Genomic DNA, 24496 nt, shown 5'->3' on the forward strand with positions numbered 1-24496 from the left:
CTGCGCCCAGCTGGAAATGGGAGTTTTTTAAGTGTCCAGGATTATAATATTTGGTCACATATCAGTGCCGGAGCACTCATAGAAATGCACACATACTGAGGTCACAGGAACTAACTGCTTTAGACATGTTACCCCAGCCAAGCCCCCAACAACCTCGTGAGAGAGATACTATTCCTATCCCCATTTCACAGATAACAGGCTCAGCTGTCAAGCAGGTCACCCAGCTGGGAAGTGGCGGAGCCCAGCTGCAAAGTCAGGGCTGCTGAAGGGGAGAGAGGTGGCCGTGTGCCCAGCTGTGAGCAGGCTAGAGGTGCTGGGGGACAGTCTGGGTGTGCACAGAAGCAGCTCCCGAGCTCTCGGTGCTAATGTGAGGATGAAAGGCCCCCACCCTGCTGCTGCCCAGTGGGAGAGCCTGACGCTCAAGTTGGCGATGAGCCTTGCAGGCTGGGCCTGGATGTGTGTCTGAAACAGGGAGCCTTTTCAGGTGGGGAGGCGCCCTGGCTGAAGCCCTCAAATGCAGAGTCACGGGGCCGGGCGCAGTGGCTCACGCCTGTAATCCCAGCACTTTGGGAGGCAGAGGTGGGTGGATCACAAGGTCAAGAGATTGAGACCATCCCGGCCAACATAGTGAAACCCCATCTCTACTAAAAATACAAAAAATTAGCCGGGCGTGGTGGCGAGTGCCTGTAATCCCAGCTACTCGGAAGGCTGAGGCAGGAGAATAGCTTGAACCCGGGAGGCGGAGGTTGCAGTGAGCTGAGATCGTGCCATTGCACTCCAGCCTGGGCAAAAAGAGCAAAAGTCTGTCTCAAAAAAAAAAAAAAATGCAGAGTCACAGAACAGGAAAGGGGCTGCCCACCTGAGGTCAGGTCCCCAGACCTTGGCTGAGCACCGCCCTGGGCTCATAAAGAACCACTGTGCAGTGCCGCGTGATGAGTGCTCCCCCCATACCCAGCGCAGGGAACCTGGGGAGAGAGTGGCTGGTTCTGCCCTGGGGGTCGGGGCCAGCCGCAGGGAGCTGGCAGCCAAGCTGGGCCTTACGCGCTGAGTCATGGCTCTCATCATAAAGGCTTCATTCAGAGACACGGCCACAGGCGGCCCCAGCGCTCACCATCCCTGGTCCTCACAACCGGCCCAGGATGAATCCCAGCCGCACACCAGGGATACACCTGCGCACAGGAAGACATGGTCCCTTCTCTCAAAGAATTGCGGTCTGAGGGGAGAAGCAAGACCATGAACACGGAAATAAGTCAGTAGCGCCCATGCTGATAGAGAAAGTGCATCAAGAAGGCGAAGCAGAAGGGAAGACAGGGATGGCCATGGTGGGGGTTTTTCTCTAGGAAGAGGGCCTCATGCAGGAGGTGACGTGAGCCGAGCCAGACAGAAGTGAGGGATGGAGGCCAGGCATGGTGGTTCATGCCCGTAATCCCAGTACTTTGGGAGGCTGAGGAGGGTGGATCTCTTGAGGTCAGGAGTTCGAGACCAGCCTGGCCAACATGGTGAAACCCCATCTCTACTAAAAATACGAAAATTAGCTGGGCGTGGTGGCAGGCACCTGTAGACCCAGCTACTCAGGAGGCTGAGGCAGGAGAATCGCTTGAACCTGGGAGGTGGAGGTTGCAGTGAGCCGAGATTATGCCACTACACTCCAGCCTGAGCAACAGAGCAAGACTCGTCTCAAAAAAACAAAAAAGAAAAAAGAAGTGAGGGATGGAGGCACGTGAGGTGGGGGAGTGGGAAAGAGCTTGGCTGTTTGGTGGCTGAGTGATGGGAAGGTGGAATGGAATGGAAGGAGGACCCGGGCAGAGGTTCTGAGAGCACAAGCAAGGAGTCTGCACAAGAGGCCAGGCAAGGGCTTTTAGCTGGGAAATGACAAGACCTGCCTGATGTTTTAAAAATATCCCTGGCCAGTCACAGTGGCTCACGCTTATAATCCCAGCACTTTGGGAGGCTGAGGCAGGTGGATTGCTTGAGGCCAGGAGTTCAAGACCAGCCTGGACAACAAAGCAAGACCCAGTCTCTACCAAAAAAAAAAAAAAAATTAGCTGGGCATGGTGGCATGTTCCTGTAGTCCTAGCTACTCGGAGGCTGAGATGGGAGCATCACTGCAGCCCAGGTGTTAGAGGCTGCATGAGCTGAGATCACGCCACTGCGCTTCAGCCTGGGCGACAGAGTGAGACTCTGTCTCAAAAAAGAGCCCCTGCAGCACCTGGAGGAAGACAGCACTGGAATCGGGAAGAGTTAGGTGGTTGCATTTGTCCAGGGAAAAGAAGGTGAGAAGGAGGCGGTCAGCTCGGCCAGGCTGCCAGGACTGCTGATGTAGGTGGAGGAAAGAGCCATCCAGGGCTATTCCATGGTCCTCACCTGAGCTCCTGCATGGAGGTTGGTGCGATTTGCTCAGCGGGCATGGAGGGAAACTTGACATTTGGGTGGTAAGCATGTTAATTTGAGCTGCCCACTGGATAGTCAGTTGAAGTCGTCTGCACACTGTGGTATGCATCCACATCCCCTTGAGGTCCAAGGCCACCTGCCAGAAGTGTTGGCTGCTGCAGACCGTCCCCAGGAGCCAAAGGGGCTGCCTTGCCCAAGATGACAGACCCATCCTGGGGCAGCCCTCATCTGAAGGCTGGTCCAGGTGGGGACACAATGATTTTGCCCCCTTGCCTCTTTCTGGGCAACTTTGAAGGACTATCTTGGCTCCAGATGCCCCGGGGATCAGCTGAGGCTCATTGCAGCTGCAATGCAATCCACTTCTCCCTCTGCCCATCCTGCATCCCTTGTGCCCTCACAGGCCAAGCCCTAAGACATTCCCCAGTCAACTTCCTCACAGGCAATTGGATGCATTTAGTTCGGAGCTCCAGGAAGAGGTCTAGGCTGGGTGGCAACAATGTGGGGTGGGGACATCAGCACTGGTGGAATTTAAAGTCTCAGGCTAGGTGAGAAGGGAAGAGGATTGAAGCACAGAGCATGCCAACCTTGAGAGCTGAGGAGGTTGGAGGGGTGGTGCCCTGGAACCAAGCTAAGAAAGGTTTAAAGGGACCAGGTGCGGTGGCTCACACCTGTAATCCCAGCACTTTGGGAGGCCGAGGAGGGTGGATCACTTAAGGTCAGGAGTTTGAGACCAGCCTGGCCAATATGATGAAACCCATCTCTACTGAAAATACACAAGTTAGCCAGGTGTGGTGGTGCATGCCTGTAGTTCCAGCTACTCGGGGCTGAGGCAGGAGATTCACTTGAACCTGGGAGACAGAGGCTTCAGTAAGCTGAGATTGCGCCACTGCACTCCAGCCTGGGGGACAGAGCTAGACTCCATCTCAAAAAAAAAAAAAAAAGAGAGAAAGTGTTTAAAGGAGAGATCCGGTGCCTGTAATCCCATCTACTTGGGAGGCTAAGGCAGGAGAATAGCTTGAACCCGGGAGGTGGAGGTTGCAGTGAGCCAAGATTGCACCACTGCACTCTAGCCTGGGCACGACAGAGCGAAACACTGTCTCAAAAAACAAAACAAAACAAAACAAAACAAAACAAAAAACAAAAAAAAAACAGAGATTCACCTCACCAGGTGCTATGAGGATTGTTAAGGTAAGATGAGGACCCGTGACACTCTAGTTAGTTCATTTCAACCGCTGTGGTGTTCAGGGAGGAACTTGAAGGAACGTTTAAAGCCAGGGGCATAATGTGGTGAGGAGAGGAACTCATAGAGAAGGAGAAATGGATGATTCAGAAGGGGAGGGCAGGAGCAAAACCTTGAAGGGGATGGGGTCCAGGGCCCACATGGAAGGGTCCATCTGTGAATAATGCTTTGTATCAAGAAGAAGGCAGAGTAGAGGCACCTGTGCAGGTTGGTGTGTAGAGCTGGTGGGGAGGTCACTGGGCATGGTCACTGGCTGTGAGTGAGTGGTGGGAAGCAGTGCTGGAGATGAGAAGACAAGAAGAGAGGAGAGTCAGCTTAACCTGCAAGTCTCCCAGCTGCAAAGGGCACTGGTGCGCTTCAAACCTGACTCTGGGCTTCATTCACTGGAAAAAGCACAAAGAAAGACATTCTAAGCTGTCAAGACGTGGTAGGTTCAGCAAATAATACTAGTTACAGTAAAAAGATGTGAGCTGTTGCTACGCTTAAGCATTCGTCGTGCATTCTTTCATTTAACAAGCCATCCCTCAAAACCCCTGTGACACAGATACAGTTGGTCCTTATTACTTGCACATTCTGTATTTGCAAATTTGCCTGCTTGCTGAAATTCATTTGTAACACCAAAATCAATACTCGCAGAGCCTTTGTGATCATTTGCAAACATTCTCACGGTGGTGAAGATGTGAGTTGCCCAACGTGCATGTTCCCAGCTGAGGTCAAACAAGGCGACAAGCGGCCTTCTTGTTTCAGCTCTCATACTGTAAACAAGTGTCCTCTTCACGGTCTAGTTAGTGCCACGTTTTCTGCATTTTTGTGTGGTTTTTTTTTTTTTTGGCGATTTTGCTATTTGAAATGGCCCCCAAAGGCTGTCTAGTGTTCCTAAATGCAAGAAGGCTGGGACGTGCCTTGTGGAGAAAATAACGACTGAGTGTTAGATAAGCTTTGCCCAGGCATGAGCTACAGTGAGTTCAATGTTAATGAATCAACAATATGTATTAAATATAGTGTCTTTAAACAGAGACATGCTTAAAACAAGGTTATGCATTGATCGTTTGATGAAAATGTTGTGATCAGAGGCTCACAGGAATTGAACCAGTATTTCCCCTAGGGGCAATGGTTCAGTATTCACGATTCTGTGTTTGTAGTGACTTCATAGAGCATAACTACTGCAAATAATGAGAATCGACTGAACTTTTTTTTTTTTTTTTTTTTTTTTTTTTTTGATACGGTGTCCTCCTCTGTCACCCAGGCTGGAGTGCAGTGGTGCAATCTTGGCTCACTGCAATGTCTGCCTCCTGGGTTCAAGTGATTCTCCTGCCTCAGCCTCCCAAGTAGCTGGGATTACAGGCACGTGCCATCACGCCCAGCTAATGTTTGTATTTTTAGTAGAGACGGGATTTCACCATGTTGGCCAGGCTGGTCTCAAACTCCTAACCTCAAGGGATCCACCCACCTCGGGCTCCCAAAGTGCTGGGATTATAGGTGTGAGCCACCGTGCCTGGCCTCGTGTGTACTATTAACTCTGTTGGTCACATAAGAAACCAAGGCTAAGAGACTAGACGAGCTACAGGTAGTAATAGCAGAGCTGGGGCTGAAACCTGGGCTGGTGGGGCACTAGGGGGCTTCACCCCATGAATGTGGCCTTGTGATCCAGTGGGGACCACAGGGGACCTGGCCTGGAAGAAAGGTTTCTTTTTTAGGGCACCCCATGAGCAGCCTGCCTCCCCACTGCACTGGCCTCTCCAGTTTCTACGTGAACACAGAAGCTCCTTCAGCCCTCCTGGGCTGCAGCCACAGAGCTGTTGCTGGGCCGTGGTTTTCCCCTAAGTGGGTGGAACAGTGGCTCCGTGTCCAGAGGCCGGGCACCTTTGGTTTTCCTTTGCCCAGCCCAGCCCTGGCAGGGGAGGCACAAAGGAGGCATCTGTGACTGAGCACGGAGGCCAGCCAGTCTCCCGACACCAGCCCATCCGGTCTGCTGTGGCCTCCTGTTTATTCAGGGGATAAACTTGGGCAGGCCCCAGGGAGCCGCCCTCTCCCCAGCCCCACCACCTTCTCCACAGGGCAGAGTCTGCAGCCCTTCTTCTGTCTTTTGTGGGGTAGCTTGCGTGTTGTGGTTTGGGATACTTCTTCATCCCAGCATCACTGAGATAATTTAGGAGACAATTGCGGGGGACTCTGCTTTCAGAGTGGAGTTACAAGCCCTTCAGTGTGTGTCCTTCCAACCCCAGAACAGACTCAGAGTCGTCATCGTCCACTGTCATCCCGCCTCTCAGGAGGCCGCTAAATCTGAGACTAATGGCTGCCACCTGGAGTGTTCCTCAGGCAGGGAGCAACCACACGACTGTGAGGAGGGGGCACTTACCTGGTGGGGGGCTCAGTGCTCCCCTGTGGGGCTGAGGAAGGAGCCTGGGCTTGGGGAGAAGCTGGGTGCTCCCCGCCCACCCTCCTTGACCCATCAGATATAGATGAGAAGCCACGGCTGGGAGGGTGCGAAGCTGACAGCAGAGCCCCAGGTCCCCAGACAAGCTGTGGGGAGAAGAGCAGCGCGGGCGTCAGAGGCGCCTGGACAGGCAGCCGGCAGGTCCACAGCAAGGCTGCACCTTGTTCTTCCTTGGTCTCTGGGTGGCCAGCACTAGGTCTGGCCTGCGGTTTCTGCTCAGTGATTCTTGTTTGAGTAAATGAATGACGGGGTGAATGAATGAATGGTCTTGGTTCTATGATGGTTACTTTGGGGAAGTTATTTTATTATACAAAACCGAGCCTCTCTTTTTTACATAGGATAACGGCTAGGTGCACAGTCTCTGGAGCCAGGCTGCCTGGGTTTGACTCCTGGCTCTCAACTTACTAGCTGTATGTCCTTGAGTAACCTCTCTGAGCCTCAGTTTCCCCATCTGTAAAATGGGGATAATACCTGCCTCGTAGGGTTGTCGGGAGGATTAAATGAGCTCATATCATGTGAAGCACTAGAACGGAGCTTGTATATATTAAGTGCTATGTGGCCATTTGCTGTTAATACTTTTTTTTTTTTTTTTTTGAGACAGAGTCTCTGTCACCCAGGCTGGAGTGCAGTGGCTAGATCTCGGCTCACTGCAACCTCCACCTCCTGGGTTCAAGCGATTCCCCTGCCTCAGCTTCCTGAGTAGCTGGGATTATAGGCGACCACCACCACACCTGGCTAATTTTTGTATTTTTAGTAGAGACGGGGTTTCACTATGTTGGCCAGGCTGGTCTCGAACTCTTGACCTCAAATGATTCACCCGCCTTGGTCTCCCAAAGTGCTGGGATTACAGGCATGAGCCACCGTGCCTGGCCAGCTGTAAATACCTTTAAGATGAACATAACGTCTGCCTTCCGCGCGTGTTGGGAGCCTGGTGCATTGTTTGCCCAGGTGTGCTCTTCTCAGAACACTGATCCCTTGTGTTGTTAAATGTTAAATAAGAAGGGTCCTGTCCAAGCCCAGTTGCCTTAAGGAAGCCTGGGGTTAAAAGCTAGGGAGGCTTCTCTCCTGCAGAGGTGCCTGTGACATCTTCAAGAGGGAGTGAAGAATTTCACCGGCTGATTTGACCACAGATCAATTTCTTGCTATCAGAGTGGGATGGGGTTTCCACAAAACACGTCTTTGAAGACAACAAATACTGCTTCCTTCCCTCCCTCCCTGGAGCCCTGGCCTCATACTGCTTAGCTTATCTGGTAGCAGCCAGGGAAATGGCAGGATGCATCTCCCTGGGCTTAGAACTGGGGCAGGAGGCAGCAGCCAAGTCAACAGCAGGTAGTGGCCAGTCCTCAGCTCTAAGCCAGCAGGTAGGACTGCAGAGGTGCATGTGGCAAATCATAGACACCTGATGTGGGCTGCCACTGACTGAGACACTGCTGAGCTGGACAGCAGACACCTGCAACCCAAGGATGATGAAGAGGAACTTGAGGCCTTTAATTGCTCATGGTCTTCAATCATCCTTACCAATTAGTTTCTGCTGCTTCCCAGGCAATTCCGGTTGCTGTAAGTAAGCCAGTGATGCAACAAGAGAGGCAGAAGGGAGTCCTGAACGTGGGCCAGATCTGGGTACAAATCTTGTCTCTGCCACCACTTAATCCTCTTGAGCCTCAGTTTCCTTATTTGTTTCATGAGTGCAGTAACATCTACTCTACAAGATTGTTGGATTAAATTAAGAAATGAAGTGGCTGGCACATAGTACATAGCTGTTATCAACAATAGGCTGCAGGGAAATGTTCTCTCCTTGGTTTCAGGGCCCTTGTCCAAGGTTCCCATTAGGTAGAGGAATTGTTTCTTCAGAGTTGAGATCTGATGTGTCTGGGAAGAGGGCAGCCTGACTTGAGAAGGTCTCTCACCTTTCAAATGCCCATCTCAGGAACTTCAGAAAAGGCTTCCGCTAATTCAAAAATCAAGTCCTCAGCTTTCCATTGTCTGTGGGTGAGGGATTCTCAGTCCCATTCAGGGCCCTAACCATTCCCCAGGTGATTACTGTGTGCCAGACATGTTAGGAGCTTAAGTCCAAAGACACCAGGGGCATGGACCCTGTCCTCAGGAATTGCAGAATGGTAGGGGACCTGACAGGAGGCCAATCCTGACAATTCAGTGTGTTCCTCTTAGTAACACAGCTTGTGATTGAGGCATAGACATCATGAAGCCAAGGAATAATTTATTATCACTGGAGAAGACAGGGAAGGCATCACCTGGGAAATCATACCTGGGTGGAGTTTTGAAGGATGAATAGGAGTTTGCCTGGTGGACAGAGGAGGCCAAAAGTTTGGTACTAAAAACAGCATACCTACTCTACTCCCAACCACCTCCCTTTTCTAGGATTGGTGTGGGTCCATCTGCCGTTAGCAAGCTTTGTGACTATAGGTAAGTCATTTCTTCTCTCTCGGCCTGTTTCCCATTGGTGAAATGGGATCCCTTCCAGCTTTAATGCATTGTGATTTCATGTTTATATAGGCCTAGATAATTGTTTTAAAGTCCTCATATTTGCAAAACACGGGGCAAAAGTCTTTGACTTTTTCTCTTCTAACGCATCTCCCAGTCTTACAAAGTTGGTTGTACTCTCTCCATTTGACTGAGGAGGAAACTGAGGCTCGGTGAAGTTACTTGCCTTTAGCCAATATGTGGCAGATCCAGGCCTCAAATCCAGGTCTTCTGGCCCTGAGTTCCACTGTTTCTCCACTGCTCCACACGGCCTCTCACCCCACAAGCCCTCGGCGGCTGCACATAAATGATCCTTGACAGATTACTGCCTCACTCAGGCCCCTGTCAGATGTTACTGCTGACAGTTGGGGAGGAGGAGGAGCGAGAACATTGTGTGCCAGGATGCCAGGCCTCGGCCCTGAAGGAGGAGCTTATGAGAAAGAGGCAAGCAGGGAGGCAGCAGGTAGGACATTGAGCATGGTCAAGAAAGGCTGTTTTGGCCAGAGAGTGGATAAATGATAAAGTCTGGAGTAGCAGGCAAGTGCACAGCCACCCTTTCCTGAAGCAAAAATTGGTGCCTAAATCCATAGTGAAAATAGTCCCCCTGGCCGGGTGCGGTGGCTCACGCCTGTAATCCCACCACTTTGAGGCCGAGGTGGGTGGATCGCTTTAGGTCAGGAGATCGAGACCACCCTGGCCAACATGGTGAAACCCTCTCTCTACTAAAAATAAAAAAATTAGCTGGGTGTGGTGGCACGTGCCTGTGATCCCAGCTACTCGGGAGGCTGAGGCACGAGTATCGCTTGAACCCAGGAGGCAGAGGTTGCAGTGAGCCGAGATCACGCCACTGCACTCCAGCCTGGCGACAGAGCCAGACTCCAGACTCCGTCTCAAAAAAAAAAAAAAAAAAAAAAAGAAAGAAAATAGTCTCCCTGCCTCCAGGGTCTCTCTATGCCCATACCCTGCTTTGTTTTTCTTCAGAGCACATATTATATATGTCACTCATTAATTTATTGTTTCATCATCTGACTTCTCCCACTAAAATGTCAGCTCCACAAGAATCAACCAAGACTTGGTACTGATCAAGGCTGTGTCTACAACACCTAGAACAGAGCCTGGCACTAACTGTTTTGAACAAATGAAGGAATTAATGAAGGAATGACTGAAAGAATGAAGGAATGAATGAAAGAATGAAGGAATGAATTAAAGAATGAATGAAGGAATCAAAGAACAAACGATCCCTTCACCTGTGATCATGTCAGCACCCACTGTTGTCAGCAAGCCTTTAGCAAAGCAGTTCCCAAACTGCTGCATCAGAATCACTGGGATCTTTAAAAACTGCCAACACCTGGCTTCCACCGTGACATTCGGATTAGGTTGCCATGGGGTATGTTATTGACATTTTTTTAGGTTCAAGTGATTCCAAGCGTTTTTTAAGTTCTTCAAGTGATCCTGATGTGCGGTGCAGTTTAGGAACCACTGCTTTAAAGGGTTGTCCACTCCTGAAAAAGGGCAGTCCACTCCTACAAAGCTTCTAGCTGAGTTAATAGCCAATCAGAGACATGGGTAGTGGCACGCAGGGTGGGACCTCTGTGCTGCCCAAGTCTGGGAGGAGGTGGGGAGGGTGAGGTGTTTGGGGAAAGGAGAGTTGTTTTTGCTGCCTGGGTTTTGCTGTCTGGGTAACTCTGATGTTACCAAGAGTAGAGGAAAACGAAGTTTTTCTCCTTGCTCTCACCCAATTCAAGTCAAAAGAACACCTTGCTGGACTTCCTCCTCCCCTGCCACCTCCTCTTCTTGGATGACTGAATGAGTCAGGGGGCTTGTTTGTTAGGGAGGAAACACTGGTTTTCTCACCATTTTCCCCCTTTCGTTGAGCTTGAATGAGTAAGAAAACCCATTGTTTATACATGCACAGGTTGACACAAATAGAGCTTGGAGCTTCTGAAGACTCAACCTGGGCTCCAGAGTCAATAAGACCAGGTCCCACCCCGTCTGCACAGCATCCAGCCAGATGTTACAAGAGAACCCAGCCCCGGGGGCAGGCTGGTGAAATCATCCCGGCCAGTGGACAGTCACCAACACCGGAGTGTTTGCCAAGGGAAACACCTTGTTTCCACAGTCCAAGATCCTCTCCTGGGCTGGCACAGAGTTGCAGAATTGGAAGAGACCTAAAGATGTGCTGTCCAGCTAAAAGCTCTTCCAGGGGAGGAGTCTGAGGCCCAAAAAGTTAGGGAGAGCCCAGAACCCAGGCCTCCTGCATCTTCACTGGGTTTGGTGGGAAGAGGCAGAGGAAGGAGTGGTCAGAGAAGATGCCAGCTTAGTGCAGACCCCTAGACACATCCCCACTGGCGAGAGAGGGCTTTTGGATCCAAGAGTCATTCCCATTTTTTTTCTAAATAAAAAATTGGGGGCCAGGTGCGGTGGCTCACGCCTGTAATCCCAGCACTTTGGGAGGCCGAGGCAGGCAGATCACTTGAGGCCAGTTCAAGACTAGCCTGGCCAACATAGCAAAACCCCATCTCTACTAAAAATACAAAAAGTTAGCTAAGTGTGGTGGCATATGCCTGTAATCTCAGTTACTCAGGAGGCGGAGGCACAAGAATCACCTGAACCCAGGAGACAGAGGTTGCAGTGAGCAAAGATCGCACCACTGCACTCCAGCTTGGGCGACAGAGGGAGACTCTAAAAGAAAAAAAAAGAAAAAAAAAAGAAAAGAAAAAAAATTAGGAATGACTTTCCTTTGGGGTCAAGAGGCCTCTGCAGTCTCAGAGTCCTGCCTATTTGCTTGGTAGTCCCTTCCCTAAGCCACTGCTTAAGTCATCAAATACTGAATTTACCACCTGGGATGAAAGCTGAGATTTAAGAGTTGTAGCTGAACTTCCTGAGCGTGGAGTCAATGGACCTCTGAGAGAGAGGTGAGAGAGGACAAGTACTTGTGGTAAAGTCCTAGCCAGCTGCCAGGGGGGCTTTTCCACACATAGAGCCCCAGCTGGGCAGAAATAATGTCCTCTGGCCGGGGGCAGTGGCTCACACCCATAATCCCAGCACTTTGGGAGGCCGAGGCGGGCGGATCACGGGATCAGGAGTTCGAGGCTATCCTGACCAACATGGTGAAACCCCGTCTCTACTAAAAATACAAAAATTAGCCAGGCGTGGTGTCATGCGCCTATAGTCCCAGCTACTCAGGAGGCTGAGGCAGGAGAATCGCTTGAACCCTGGAGGCGGAGTTTGCAGTGAGCCGAGATCATGCCATTGCATTCCAGCCCGGGTGACAGAGTGAGACTGCATCTCAAAAAAAAAAAAAAAAAAAAAAAAAAAAGTAAAGAAAGAATGTCCTCTGTGTGTGCGTTGACAGAATCAAGCCCTGCTAAGATGGACCAGGTTTGACTGATGCTCACAGTCCTGATTAATGACTGGTGTCCACCTTGGAGAGCACTAGACTGAGAGTAATGCAACCTGGCTCTACTCCTGGCTCCACCACTAACTGAGTGTGCTACTTGTGAGGGGAGATGCCATTTCCCACCTCTGGGGCTCATTCCCCTGTCTGGGAAATGGTTATACTATACCAGTGATTTTAAATATTTTTAAAGCCATAGAACCCTTTATTCACATGAAGTTTCATACAGAAGACAGCATGTACAGCAGACAGAAGTGGAGCTATTTTTGTGGTTCCCCTGGAGCACATCTTCCCTTTTGCGAAGTCTCCACAGAACCCTGAGGGTTCCAACAAACTCAGTTTGAGAACAACTTGCCAGACTTTTTGTTTTAGCTCCAATACTATTTATGTCAGCTGTTGTTTGTTCACTTGGCTAATATTGGTTGGCATCAGTTGCTTGGCTAATGTTAACATTAGGTAATGTTCAGAAGGGTTCTTTTCTCAAAATAATGATCATGAAACCATATATATATATATTTAGCCAGTCGTTCCACATGGCCCCAAACATGTGCAGAATGTTGCTTCTTTACACCATCCAATGTTGAGCTAACTCTTGCATGGTGGCAGCGAAAGAAAATAGACACAGAGAGGCCAGGCATGGTGGCTCATGCCTGTAATCCCAGCATTTTGGGAAGCTGAGGTGGGGGGATTGCTTGAGCCCAGGAGTTTGAGGCTACAGTGAGCTATGATTGTGCCACGGCACTTCAGCCTAGGCAACAGAGCAAGATCTTATCTTTTTTTTTTTTTTTTTTTGAGACAGTCTTCCTCTGTCACCTAGGCTGGAGTGCAGTGGCACAATCTTGGCTCACTGCAACCTCCACCTCTCAGGTTCAAGTGATTCTCCTGCCTCAGCCTCCAGAGTGTCTGGGATTACAAGCGCTCGCCACTACACCCAGCTAATTTTTGTATTTTTAGCAGAGACAGGGTTTCGTCACGTTGGCCAGGCTGGTCTCGAATTCCTGACCTCAGGTGATCTGCCCGCCTCGGCCTCCCAAAGTGCTGGGATTACAGGAGTGAGCCACTGCGCCGGGCCTGACATTGTCTCTTTAAAAAAAAAAAGGAACCTCACAGGTAATGCTAAGAGACCAGGGTACCTAACTCAAGACCTTCCTTCCCCACATCCTCATAGGTGGTGCTATGCTCAGAAGGCAGGATTATATTTCCTATTAACTCACTCTTAGCCCCCGTTTGAACCAAGGACACTGAATCCTAGCCTGTGTTAGAGCCCTCAGATCCCATATTCATCCTGTGTCTAATCTCACCCATCAGATACAGTCACCATCCCCACCCCACCCCCCACTGGACTATCATTGCTTCTCTGAACCCTGCTGGAAAGTGTTAGCCCTTCCCTCAAAAGTCAGGGTCCTAAATTTTCCCTCAGGCTGCCTCTAATCCTCACCTCTGTTCCCCTCAGCCTCTTGCCATAATGATCATTAGTAATAGCTACTGTTTATTGGTTACCTGCTCTGTGCCAGGCTCTGTTCTATGTATTTTACTGGTCCTGATTATTTTGATCCTCACAATAGTTCTAAAATACATACTATTATTATCTCCAATTTAAAGATGAGGAAATTGAGACACTGGGACTTAAACTTGCCTACGTTCATTTAGCAACAAGGTGGTAAAGCCAAGATATGGCCCTTGGCCCCGGCACCCATGCACAGAACCAGTGCGTCAGACTGCAGCTCACTCATGCTGCTGGTAGTGACTAGGAACTGCCATTTATTGAGCACCTGCAGCATCTTAGGCATTGCACTAGACACTTTATCATTTCATTGAAACTTCACAACTGCAAGAGGAAATGTCTTATTTCCATTTTCTAGAGGTAGAGACTGAGGCTCCAAAACATTGACTTCCCTTGATAAGTGGAACCGGGCAGGCTTCAAACCCAGGAGTGTTCAATGCATCTGTGGCCTTTCTCTGTCACTCTGCTTTTAAGGACAAGTACCTGCAGACATTCCCCACTCCACTACCTTTGAGAAAAATAAAGAAGGACCTACTGATACCACCCGTTCCATAGAGCTCTTGAGAAATGTCGCTCAGGCTGCCCATGGTGGGGACAGGGAGGGGGCTTGACAGGCCTGACTTTCTCCATTGACCTTCTCTGGGAGAGAGTCACGACCAGAGAAGGGATGATCACCCTTGGTTTCTGCTTTTCTTTCTTGGTTCTGGACGATCCTGTCATGTGACCTGCTTTGAGCCTAATAATCCTTAGGGGCAACATCGGACTTGGAAGGGAAGAAGGGAAACCAAGATAGAACCCCTGGACTCAGCCACATCCTAAAACCTTTTGGGACACTGCTGAGCTTAAGGTCTCAGGGTGGAGATGGGAAGGCAGATAGAGTGGGCCCAGGGTGCATGGGCTCAATCGCATACCACACCTTTGAGGAGTGCCTAAAATTAAGTGTAGTCACTGTGCTAGGGTGTACAACATCCTGTGAGGTACCATTCCCATCTTACAGATGAAGACATTGAGTCTTAGAGAAGTAACAGAACTTGTCCCAAGACATCTGGGAAATAAGACTCAATTCAAACCCAAGTCTGTTTGATTTCAAAGCCAGTGGTATGATACACCACATAGGTACTCTTATTTTTTTTTTAAATAGAGACAGGGTCAGCCAGGCGCAGTGGCTCACGCCTGTAATCCTAGCACTTTGGGAGGCCAAGGCGGGCAGATCATGAGGTTAGGAGTTCAAGACCAGCCTGGCCAATATGGTGAAACCCCGTCTCTACTAAAAATACAAAAATTAGCTGGGCGTGGTGGCACACACCAGTAGTCTCAGCTACTTGGGAGGCTGAGGCAGAAGAATCGCTTGAACCCAGGAGGCGGAGGTTGCAGTGAGCCAAGCTCACGCCACTGCACTCCAGCCTGGGCAACAGAATGAAATATAAATCTCAAAATAAATAAATAAATAAACAAATAGAGACAGGGTCTTGCTGTCAACCAGGCTGGAGTGCAGTGGTGCCATCATGGCTCACTGCAGCCTCAAACTCCTGGGCTCAAGTGATCCTCTTCAGCCTCCCAAGTAGCTGGGACTACAGGTACGTGCCACCACACCTGCCTAATGTTTTTATTTCTAATTTTTTGGTAGGGATGGGGTCTTGCTGTGTTGTCCAATCTGGCCTCAAATACCTTGCTGTGTTGTCCAAGCTGGCCTCAAATACCTAGCCACAAGTAACCCTCCTGCTTTGGCCTCTCATAGGCACTGGGATTACAGGCATGAGCCGCCACATCCAACCAACATGTGTGTTCTATATGATACACCACAGTGCTCCTGTGTGTTAGAGACTGTGGGAGCGGACCCAAACAAGAGAAACAGTCTGGCCTCTGCACATATATCTCTGAACAGCAAGGCATACTTTCCGAGGAGAGGGCTGGGGCAGTGGAGTTTCTCTTGGGGCCACAGCTCTAGCTCCTCTCTTAGGTGGCTCTGGCCAGGAGGCCCTCCTGTACCTAATGCTGTCCCATTTGGAAAGTCCCCAGCAGTTCTGGGAGCTCCAGCGGCTGCTTTGCCTCAGAGACAAGCCCTGGTAAACATAGGGGCCGCTGCGAATTTACTGGCAGGAGAGACTGAGAAGGAAGTTGACAGCCAAGAGGCAGAGAAGTGGGCAAAGCTGGTGCGTGTGTGCATGTGTGTGTGTGCATGTGTGGGTGTGGGTGGGTGTGTAGGGTGGTGCAGGACCAAAGCACCCAGATGCCCCACTGGTCCTGCCCGTACCAAAGTGCCGTTGCCACTTTGTTGGCCAGTGAAGACTCAGGGAAGGCAAAGGTGGCTTTGAGCCAGACAGGAAGATAAATCTCTCCCCTCACTCAAGTTATATAGTGCAACAGCAGGTCAAAGGGCAACCACATTTGCAATATTTGCCGCTTTACATTCATCTCATTTTTGTCTTTTTAAAGTCCAGGGCATGGTTAAGAGTGATGGGGGGATGGGGAGTACATTTTTAAACATTTAATTTTTTGTAGAGACGAGATGTCGCTATGTTGCCCAGGCTGGTCTCAAACTCCTGGCCTCAAAGATCCTCCGCCTCGGCCACTTTGTCTGAGCCACTGTGCCCGGCCTGAGGACACATGTTTGACATAAATAGTATTTACTAGCATTCAACAGGAAGGGTCCTCTCCTTTTTTTTTTTGGTTCTTTAGTTCTCGTTGCCGCTTGGTTCTTTGTGTTCCTGGGCTGGTTATGGAGATGGTTCCGACTTCACATGAAAAGGCTGGAAAAGTTGTGGGTAGGACTCTGGATGAAAGTCAGCCTAGGCGCCCCCGGACTCATTAGGGGGTGGAGGCGGCGGCGGACCGTGTGGGGCGGGGTGCGCAGTGTGAGCCGGGGAGCGCCGGCCGGAATCTCACAGTGCGGTGACAAAAAACCGTGAGGGTGGCGCAGAACGGGCAAGAGACTACAGCGCCTACCTGGCAGGGGCGCGAGCTCACACGCCGACTCCTGGAGTCCCAGCCAGGGCTGCCCTGAGCTGGGCGCGCCCAGGCGAGCTCCACCTCCGGAGGCGGGGCCGGCCGCGCGGCCATTGGTCGGCGCCCTGGAGCCACCTGCCCCTACCTTGGGGGCGGGGTTACCTGGGCCCCGCCCCGCGGCTCGGGTTCCGGGGCCGCGTCCCTGTCCTCCGCCCCCGCCCCCGCCCCGCCCCGGCGCGAGGCCCCGCCCCCGAGTCCCGGGGCCCAGGCGCCTCGTGATGTCACCGCAGCTTGATACAAAGAGCCCTTCGGCCCACGCGGGTCTCCCGGCAACGGGCGGGGGCGGGGCCGCGCCTTCCACTGGTGCCCAGAAGTGCGAGCGGCAGCGGCGCGGCCGCGATTGTTCCTGCGCTTCGGGGCTGCCCGCCGCGTCCCCGCGCGCCGCCGACCCGCGCCCGCTGGCTTCCGCGCCTCTGCCGGGGAGCGGCCCGCGGATGCGCACCCCGCCAGCTCTCGGGAGCCAGGTAAGCGGCGGCCCCGGGGCTGGCGCTCGCAGGGCTCCGGCGGCGCGCACCTGGCTCGGCCCGGCCCGCGGCCCCGGGAAGTTGGCGGAGAGCGGACTTGGCCTGGGAGGTCGTGTTACCTGAGCCATCTCGTTCGGCCGCGAGTAGAAGCCGCTGCCAGGTGCGCGGGTGGCGGCTCCTTCCCCAGCGCAGTTCCAGGAAGTGCTTTTAGTGGACTAGGAAGGGGGCTCGTCTGCTGGGGCGCCTCCCTGGGGACCCGACGGCGGGCCCCACCTCCGGCCGCAGCGCCCCTGCCCTCCTGCCCTTGCGGGATCGGCGTGGTACCCAGCGCCGTACCCTTGGGCCGGGTCCCCGAGGGGGCTGAGCGCCGCGAAGTTTTTCTGTAGCTCTTGGCGGCTGCACAGAGCCTGTTTCCTGGCTTCCCCCGTCCCTCTGGGATGGTGGAGGTGGGGAGTCCTCGGGGCCAGCCCAGGTCGTGGTGTGGGGCCGGGGCCCTGCCTCTCCCCAGCCGAGAAGCTGCAGTGGTGGGAGGTGTGTTGTGGCCCTTGAGGCGGCCGGTCTGGCCCGGTGGTGGGAGCTGTTGGCACAGCCGCTTCTCTGTGCGGGCGACAAGTGTCTCCAAGGTCCTGGCGGCGCAGTCTCTGGAGAGCGTGTCTGTGCTGTGGGGAACTGGGTTCCGACACAGCCCCGCACCCTACTCCTCGCCCATGCAAACTCTCCAGTGCCTTCTCTTTCCCTTTTCCCTCACCCTGCTCTCCCACAGAGGGCTGGAAATGACACCTCACTCGCCCCGAGGGCCATGCCAGTTTTCCTTGACTGACCGATTTTCTCAAAGCAATGTGAGAGGTCTGGGTCCTGTCTCTGCACTTAGCCTCCACCAGGTCTTGGAGTGGCAGCACCCTGGGCTGGTTCCTGGTGATCCACCAAACTTCTGCCCTGCCCTGCCAGAGCAGGAGGCAGGTGGCATTGGCTTGGGCTTCTGGGACGCTGAAAAGCAATGGGGCAGGCACATTCCTTAGAACATCCCCAGGTCCTGGCCCAGCTGAAAGGTGGTTACAGTGGTTGCTGGGATGGGAAAAAGGAGACTCAAAGGGGTCGGAGGCAGTACTAATTGTGTGCCACTAGACCTCTGCAATGGGAGCGCTCTCACTCCCCCCCATATCCTCCCCCCACCAACTAGCCTTGCGTTGGTGGAGTGCCTGAGTCGCTGCCTTTGACTGGGGTCTCCCCCAGGTGCTGGCACCCTGGCACTGGCCCAAACCTTACCCTGCTTTCTGGCTTTCGGGGACTGTTGATTATGTTCCCAGGGAACATTACACACGGGACACTTCCCTGCCTTCAAGGTGTTTGCAAGCTCAGGCAGTCTGAATACTGGGTCTGCTCTGGGCCTGCCCAGCTCTTCTAAGTTGATTGCAAGTTGCCTGCAGTTGTCTTTGAGGTCCCTGTCACTTCACAGGGGAGAGTGTCGCCTGGCGGGGTGAGGGAAGCCGCTAGGGTTCTTCACTGCAGAAGGCAGCACCCCTTGGGCAAATGCGTAGTGGAGAACAGCTTCGGAATTTGAAGGGGGGGCCTGGACTTAGGCGAAGGGGGTGGAGTAAATGACTAAGGCCAGTAGAAGAGATAAGACTGGGCCGGAGGCGAGGGGCGGGACTAGCCAGGCCAGGTGAGCCAGCTGGAAGGCATGACCTTTGCCCTAAGGGAGGTCTGTAGGAGAGACTGCCTGGAGCCTGCCCTCGGAAGGGACTTTTAGGCAAGTGGGGGAGGAAAAGCAGAAGAAATTAGAGGGCCCATTGGGTTCTAAGCCACCTCCTTTGGGGTTCCAGGGGCAGCCTGCACTCGGAAGGCTCTGGGCTGCAGCTTGAGATACTCCACCGGCCCTCACTCTCCCTCCCGACCATCTGTGCCACTTCTAAAGCATGCTAGTGCCTTCCTAGCCCCTTCCCCTCCTGGTAGGCAGGCTGCTTCAGACCCAAGGTTTTCTCTTTGGCCGTTCACCTGGGGCCCTTGCAACTCCCTCCTTCATCTGTACCCGTAGGTATCTGGCAGTCCCCGATCTGGGCAGCCCGTTATGCTGAGGTTTTTCACAACTGATTCTGTTCTGAGGAGACTTCGCAATTTCACTTTATATGTTTTAGGTATGGGTAAGGAGGGGGTGAAGGGGGTAGGAGAGGCTCCCAATGAAATAGCAGGTGAGCAGTTCCCAGAAGGCAGGCATCTCCGAATGAGAAAGGGCATGCTGTTTCCTGGCACAGGGCTCATTGTGTTTGAAAAGGAAGCATCTTTTTTTTTTTTAATTGAGTTGAGACAGGGTCTTGCTCTATGGCCCAAGCTGGAGTCAAGTGGTGTGATCAGGGCTCACTGCAGCCTCCCACCCTCCCAGGCTCAAGCAATCTTCCCACCTCAGTCTCAGCTGGGACTACAGGTGTGTGCCACCCTGCATCTGGCTAATTTTTGTTTTTGTTTTTGTAGAGATGGGGTTTTGCCATGTTGTCCAGGCTGGTCTTAAACTCCTGGGCTCAAGGGTTCTGCCTGCCTCACCTTCCCAAAGCGCTGGGACTACAGGCATGAGCCACCACACCCAGCTGAAGCATCTTTATCTGTTCGTGCCTGCTGTCTGGTGTTAGCAGTGGGGCACAGTGCCCTGGCCTTGCCAGGCATACAGAACCCCTGGGGCTGGACTCTGTCTTCCTCTGGGTCAGCTCTGCTGGCTCTTGACTCAGGAACTGGGCACCTATGGCTTCAAACACTGGCCTCGAAGATCAATGCCCAGTTACTTCATCTCAGGTCTCATGGCTGGATTATTGGGTGGTCCCATCCATACCAATTAGGCACCACAAGACAGGCCTGCCTATTTGGCAGTCCCACCTGGTGCCTTACTGGATGTCGTACGATCTTTGCCCCTGAATGGTACCACAGTCTCCCTCACCAGGAGGCGTTTCAGGACACGGAGGCTTCCCCATTTCTGTTTGCTCAGCCCCCAGCACATTTCCCAGTACAGGGCAAGTGGTACTGAATTCATTCACCAGATTCTTCGTTGCCTACTTTGTGCCAGATTCTGTGCTGGGCACTGGAGATACAGCAGTGAACAAAACAGACGAGAACCCCTGCCTTCAAGGAGCTCGCAGGATGGTAGTGAGGCAGGTAGAGCAGTAAAACACGGAGTATGGGAGTTGGCAGGAGGAAGAGCAGGGAAGGGGAGGGAGTGCTGGGTTTCAGAGTCAGACAGGGAAGTCCTCACTGAGAAGGTGACATCCAAACGAAAGAGGTTCAGGCAGAGAAAAGAGGAACTGCAAGGGCCCTGAGGTGGGACGGTGGCTGGCATGCTATGTCTGTCCACAGAACTACAAGACAGGATGTGATTGGAGAGCAAGCCAGGGCTGGGGGGACAGGGGACAAGCTCAGAGAGATGGGGGACCACCCAATGCTGTGACAACCCAGAATCCCAGGAGGAGGAGGAGAGGGGACTGACAGTACAAGTGAGACTAGAAATCCACAGGCACGAGCTGCCTTCCATTGCTCTGCCCTTCTCAGAGCCTCCGCGTCGAGGGGATTTGGGCATTGAGGCATTTCTGGAGGACAGGCTTCTGTGGCCACTGCTGCCACAGACTTCCCTGCCCTCAGCTTGAGTTGGGTCAGACGAGCCTGTCCATGTGAACGTGGAAACATTTCCTGCCAGACTATGCTGTTGCCACCACACGAATCAAACCAGCAAAGGGCACGCCGGCGATGTGCATACAGCTGTGTCTCTGACAGCTGCCTGGGCCTGCCTGCTGTTCCCACGGGTCAGCTCCTGTCGGGTAGGGACAGGTCCTGCTCTCAAGGCTCATAAAGCAGCCAGCAGCCTGCCCGTGTTTTCCGTACTCTGGCCTGTGTCACCCAGGCTGTCTCCTCATCTCTTGTCTGATCCTCAAGGGTTCCCTGGCCTCCCTCTTCACTCCCTCTGCCTGTGGCAGGCAGCAGCACAGTTCTATGGGGTCCTAAGGACCCCAGGGAGTCACTCCCACATTTGAGCAGCAACTTTGGGTTTAGTCTGTCCAGGTTAGGGCCCCAGATCATATATATGTGTGTACACACACGTGTGTTTGCGTGTCATGCGGCATTCGGATGGGGCATCCTGTTCATCCACCCCCCTGCTATGGGGTGGCTGAAGGTTGGGGTGCCCTCTGAGTTTTTGGTGGGTGGGGCTTCAGCAGGGTGTCTTGGCTACCTCTCCTGGCCAGCACATGTTATCCTGGGAGGATTTGTAGCTTTGGGCCTGACCACGGTTCCAAGCACCATGATCTGGAGCCCACACTGGGTGGCAGGCTGCAGAGAAGGTGCCCCCAGAAGCCTGGACTGCACCCTTATCTGTTTTCATTTGGAGCTATTTTCTCATTATCTCATGCCAAGTGTCTGACTACACATGGCAGTCCTTCCCCAAGTGTTTGCAGCTTCATCATAATACTGTTAATTGAATGGAATTTGTCATTGGCCAGCTTCTGTGGACCCCATTCAAGGCTGAGTGGATGCTGGGGGCGCCCAGCTGGCCTTGCTCAGAGGGGTCCCGAGCGTCTTGGTGCTTCAGGAGCTGAGCCCCCCTCAAGAGCATTGATGACAAGAGCTCAGATTCTCAGAACCCCCCTGAGCACCCAGACAACCTTGGTGGTTACTTCTTCACTTTTTCGCATGACCTGGAAAGGAGATGAGACGGGGAGGAGAACATAGGCAACCAGAAGGACGTGCAGCCTACAAGGGTCGTATGAAGGTCAGAGGGGTGGCTGTGATGGCCCAGAGCTGTGGGGTCTGAGTGACCTCCAGCCCAGAACCGCCCAGCAGGCCAGTGCTAGTCATGCCAGCACTTCCAAACCCACTTCTTGACTGACCTTAAGAAATGGGAAGTTTTCCAACTGTTGGTCACATTTTTAATTGATCTAACCTGCTTCATCTTCCCAGACAAGTGGGTTCTTTCCCAACAATGTAAACATTAATTCAGATGAAAACAAAGCTCTGTAGAAGTTATTAATATCTGTGGCTCTGCTCATGGGAGCCTTTCTCTTTTGAGGTACCAGAAAGAGGAAGGCCTAAACAGAACTGGAGTGTGGGAGAGTGGGCGGGCTCTCTCTCTTTAGTCATCTGTGGTCACCCCCCACCCCCCTGCGCTGTGCAAGCCTGATACCATGGAAAGGGAACCCACATTTCAAATAGCTGCTGCTGCTCCGGTGAACTTGGGGTAAGGGAGCTGAGGGGTGTCTACCCTCTGCACCAGACTCAAGTCTCCCTCCTAGAATAGGAGCGAGAATAGCAGCAAGTCCCTGCCCCCTGCTCCCTCGTTTTCCTGGAAGAAATGCCTACCTAAGACACAGACACCTGCATCCCACGCTTTGTCACCCAATGCCTGTTTCCTTAAGGAGAAAAAATGGGCGCCAGAAAACTTCTAGGTCTAGATCCTGGCTCTGTTGCTCGCTAGTTGTGGAACTTTGGACAGGCGACCTCACCCTTCTGATTTCACTTTCCCTGGCCTCACTCTTCACTCCCTCTGCCTGTGGGCAGGCAGCAGCATGGTTCTGTGGGGTCCTAAGGACCCCAGGGAGTCACTCCCACATTTGGGCAGCAGCTTTGGGTTTAGTCTGTCCAGTTTAGGGCCCCAGATCGTATATGTGTGTGTGCACACACGTGTGTGTTTGCGTGTCAGGCAGCATTCAGATGGGGCATCCTGTTCATCCACCCCCCTGCTTTGGGGTGGCTGAGGGTTGGGGTGCCCAACAGGTAGAATGGGGTTGATAATAGCACCTGCCTCGCAGGGTGATGGTGAAAATAAAATGAGCCATGGTGATTTAAGATGCCCAGTCTAGGTTCTGGCCTTTACTTAGTTGACACTCGTGGACGGTTAGATGGTTAGAGAGGCAGGCCAGTTTAGTACCAAAATGCCTTCAGAGTCAGGCTGTCTCTGGGTTCAGATCCTGGCTCTGCCCCTTGCTATTGGTGGAATCTTAGACAAGTTATTTAATTTCTCTGTGCCTCAGCTTCCCCACCTGTAAAACGAGGATGAGGCTAGTACCTCCCTCACAGGGTTCGTGGTAAGAGGATGAGGCTAGTACCTCCCTCACAGGGTTCGTGGTAAGGCTCAAATATGTAAATGTATGAAAAGCACTTAAAACTGTGCTTTGGGGTGAGCTGTTATTCTTAGTTCCTGCAGGCTTCAGCTGGTTTGATTGTTGTGACTAATAACCTTCGCACCTAACAGAATGTCTTGCCGGGGAGTGTCATGGCCCAAACAGGAAGGTGGCAGCGGAAAAACTCCATTACTCAAGGGCCTTTGCAAGAGAAGCAAAACTCTACTTCCTCAGCTTCTGTGGGTTTTTAAATCTTTTTTTTCAATTTTAATTTTAATTTTTTTAAAAAAAAAGTAGAAATGAGGTGTTACTATGTTACCCAGGCTGATCTCGAATTCCTGCCCTCAGGTGATCCTCCCACCGCGGCCCCCCAAAGTGCTGGGATTACAGGCATGAGCCTCTGCACCCAGCCAGCTTCTGTGTTTTTAACAAACCTTGCTCGGGCTCTGCAGATACAGATTCTGGGTCTGGGGTGAAGTGACTAGCATTTGTGTGGCAGTCTGTGAATGAGATGTCAAGCAGCTTCCGAGGTAACAGACTTCTCCCCAGGTTCAGTGAGGGAGACTGTACCTAGCCTGTCCTTCCAGAGGCTGCTCACACTGCCAGGCTGTGGCTGGCCTGCCAAGGGGAGGATGGCCCTCCACACCTCGGCCCACCTGCCCTTCACCTCCAGCCAGGGCCTGCCTGTCCATCCACCTGTGCCTAGCTGGAAAAGCTGGCTTGGAGCAGTGCTGCCCATCTGCCACTGCCAGCCCCCAGCATCTGCCTTATTAAAATGCTGAGGCTCTGGCTGGCCACAAGCCCCAGGAGATTTGGAGAAAAGCCAGACAAAAAGGTGCAGGCTGTGCCACCGCCCAGCCACACTGGGTGACTGCCCTTGGTAGTTAACCACAGAGTCATCCAGCTTGGCTGCCCAGAGGTCTATAGCTCCACTCAGGCGAAGCTGGCTAGCCTGGCCTAGCCTGGCTGGTTAGGTGGGCAGGACAGCCTCCACTTGACTGATTTTTTTTTTTTTTTTTTTTTTTTTTGAGACAGGGTTTCGCATTTCTGCCCAGGCTAGAGTGCAGCGATACAATCTTGGCTCACTGTAGCCTCGACCTCCTGGGCTCAAGTGATCCTCCCACCTCAGCTGCCTGAGTAGCTGGGTGCACCACCACTCCCGGCTATTTATTCATTTGGTAGAGATGAGGTCTCACTATGTCACCCATGCTGGTCTCAAACTTCTAGGCGCAAGCAATCCTTCCACCTTGGCCTCCCAAAGTGCTGGAATTACAGGCATGAGCCACCATGCTTGACTCGTCTGACTGATGTTAGGCAACCTTGAATTGATGGTCTCCTGGTGAAATGAGGGTTCTTGTTGACAAGGCAGGTCTGGCCAACACATTTTTGTATGATTATCTGCACGATTGCATCAGTTATTAGCAAAGAAGGATTTTATAGCAGCAGGTGTGTGCTCATGTGCTTGTGTGGAGTTGTTGACTGCC

General features: G+C 52.4%; 1 protein-coding gene across 5 annotated transcripts in view, besides 4 other annotated features; it reads left to right on the forward strand.

Moving 5' to 3' along the window:
• RAB11FIP4 (RAB11 family interacting protein 4) overlaps positions 1-24496 on the forward strand; it is a 146537-nt gene that overhangs the window by 79678 nt on the left and 42363 nt on the right. For 3 of the 5 annotated variants that reach the window (NM_001303542.3, NM_001346747.2, NM_001346749.2), the window contains exon 1: positions 16756-16920. The exons of 1 other annotated variant lie outside the window; for it this stretch is intronic. In NM_001303542.3, the coding sequence (NP_001290471.2) occupies positions 16891-16920 (30 nt within the window). In that variant the 5' untranslated portion in view covers positions 16756-16890. Of the gene's footprint in view, positions 1-16755; positions 17081-24496 lie in introns of those variants that run through there. One more of the 5 variants, NM_001346748.2, reaches the window with a different exon arrangement.
• Positions 4975-5791: an enhancer, noted in NCBI's record as "H3K4me1 hESC enhancer chr17:29803345-29804161 (GRCh37/hg19 assembly coordinates)". NCBI's record gives its function as "activates a minimal SCP1, AML or CMV promoter by ChIP-STARR-seq in naive H9 embryonic stem cells {active_cell/tissue: H9 hESC(naive)}" and the evidence as "EXISTENCE:reporter gene assay evidence [ECO:0000049][PMID:30033119]".
• Positions 16288-17027: a silencer, noted in NCBI's record as "silent region_8410". NCBI's record gives its function as "represses an Ori minimal core promoter by ATAC-STARR-seq in GM12878 lymphoblastoid cells {active_cell/tissue: GM12878}" and the evidence as "EXISTENCE:reporter gene assay evidence [ECO:0000049][PMID:35858748]".
• Positions 17118-17167: a silencer, noted in NCBI's record as "silent region_8411". NCBI's record gives its function as "represses an Ori minimal core promoter by ATAC-STARR-seq in GM12878 lymphoblastoid cells {active_cell/tissue: GM12878}" and the evidence as "EXISTENCE:reporter gene assay evidence [ECO:0000049][PMID:35858748]".
• Positions 17588-17657: an enhancer, noted in NCBI's record as "active region_12012". NCBI's record gives its function as "activates an Ori minimal core promoter by ATAC-STARR-seq in GM12878 lymphoblastoid cells {active_cell/tissue: GM12878}" and the evidence as "EXISTENCE:reporter gene assay evidence [ECO:0000049][PMID:35858748]".

Source organism: Homo sapiens, chromosome 17 (genome assembly GCF_000001405.40).
Source record: "Homo sapiens chromosome 17, GRCh38.p14 Primary Assembly".
Classification (NCBI taxonomy): Eukaryota; Metazoa; Chordata; class Mammalia; order Primates; family Hominidae; genus Homo; species Homo sapiens.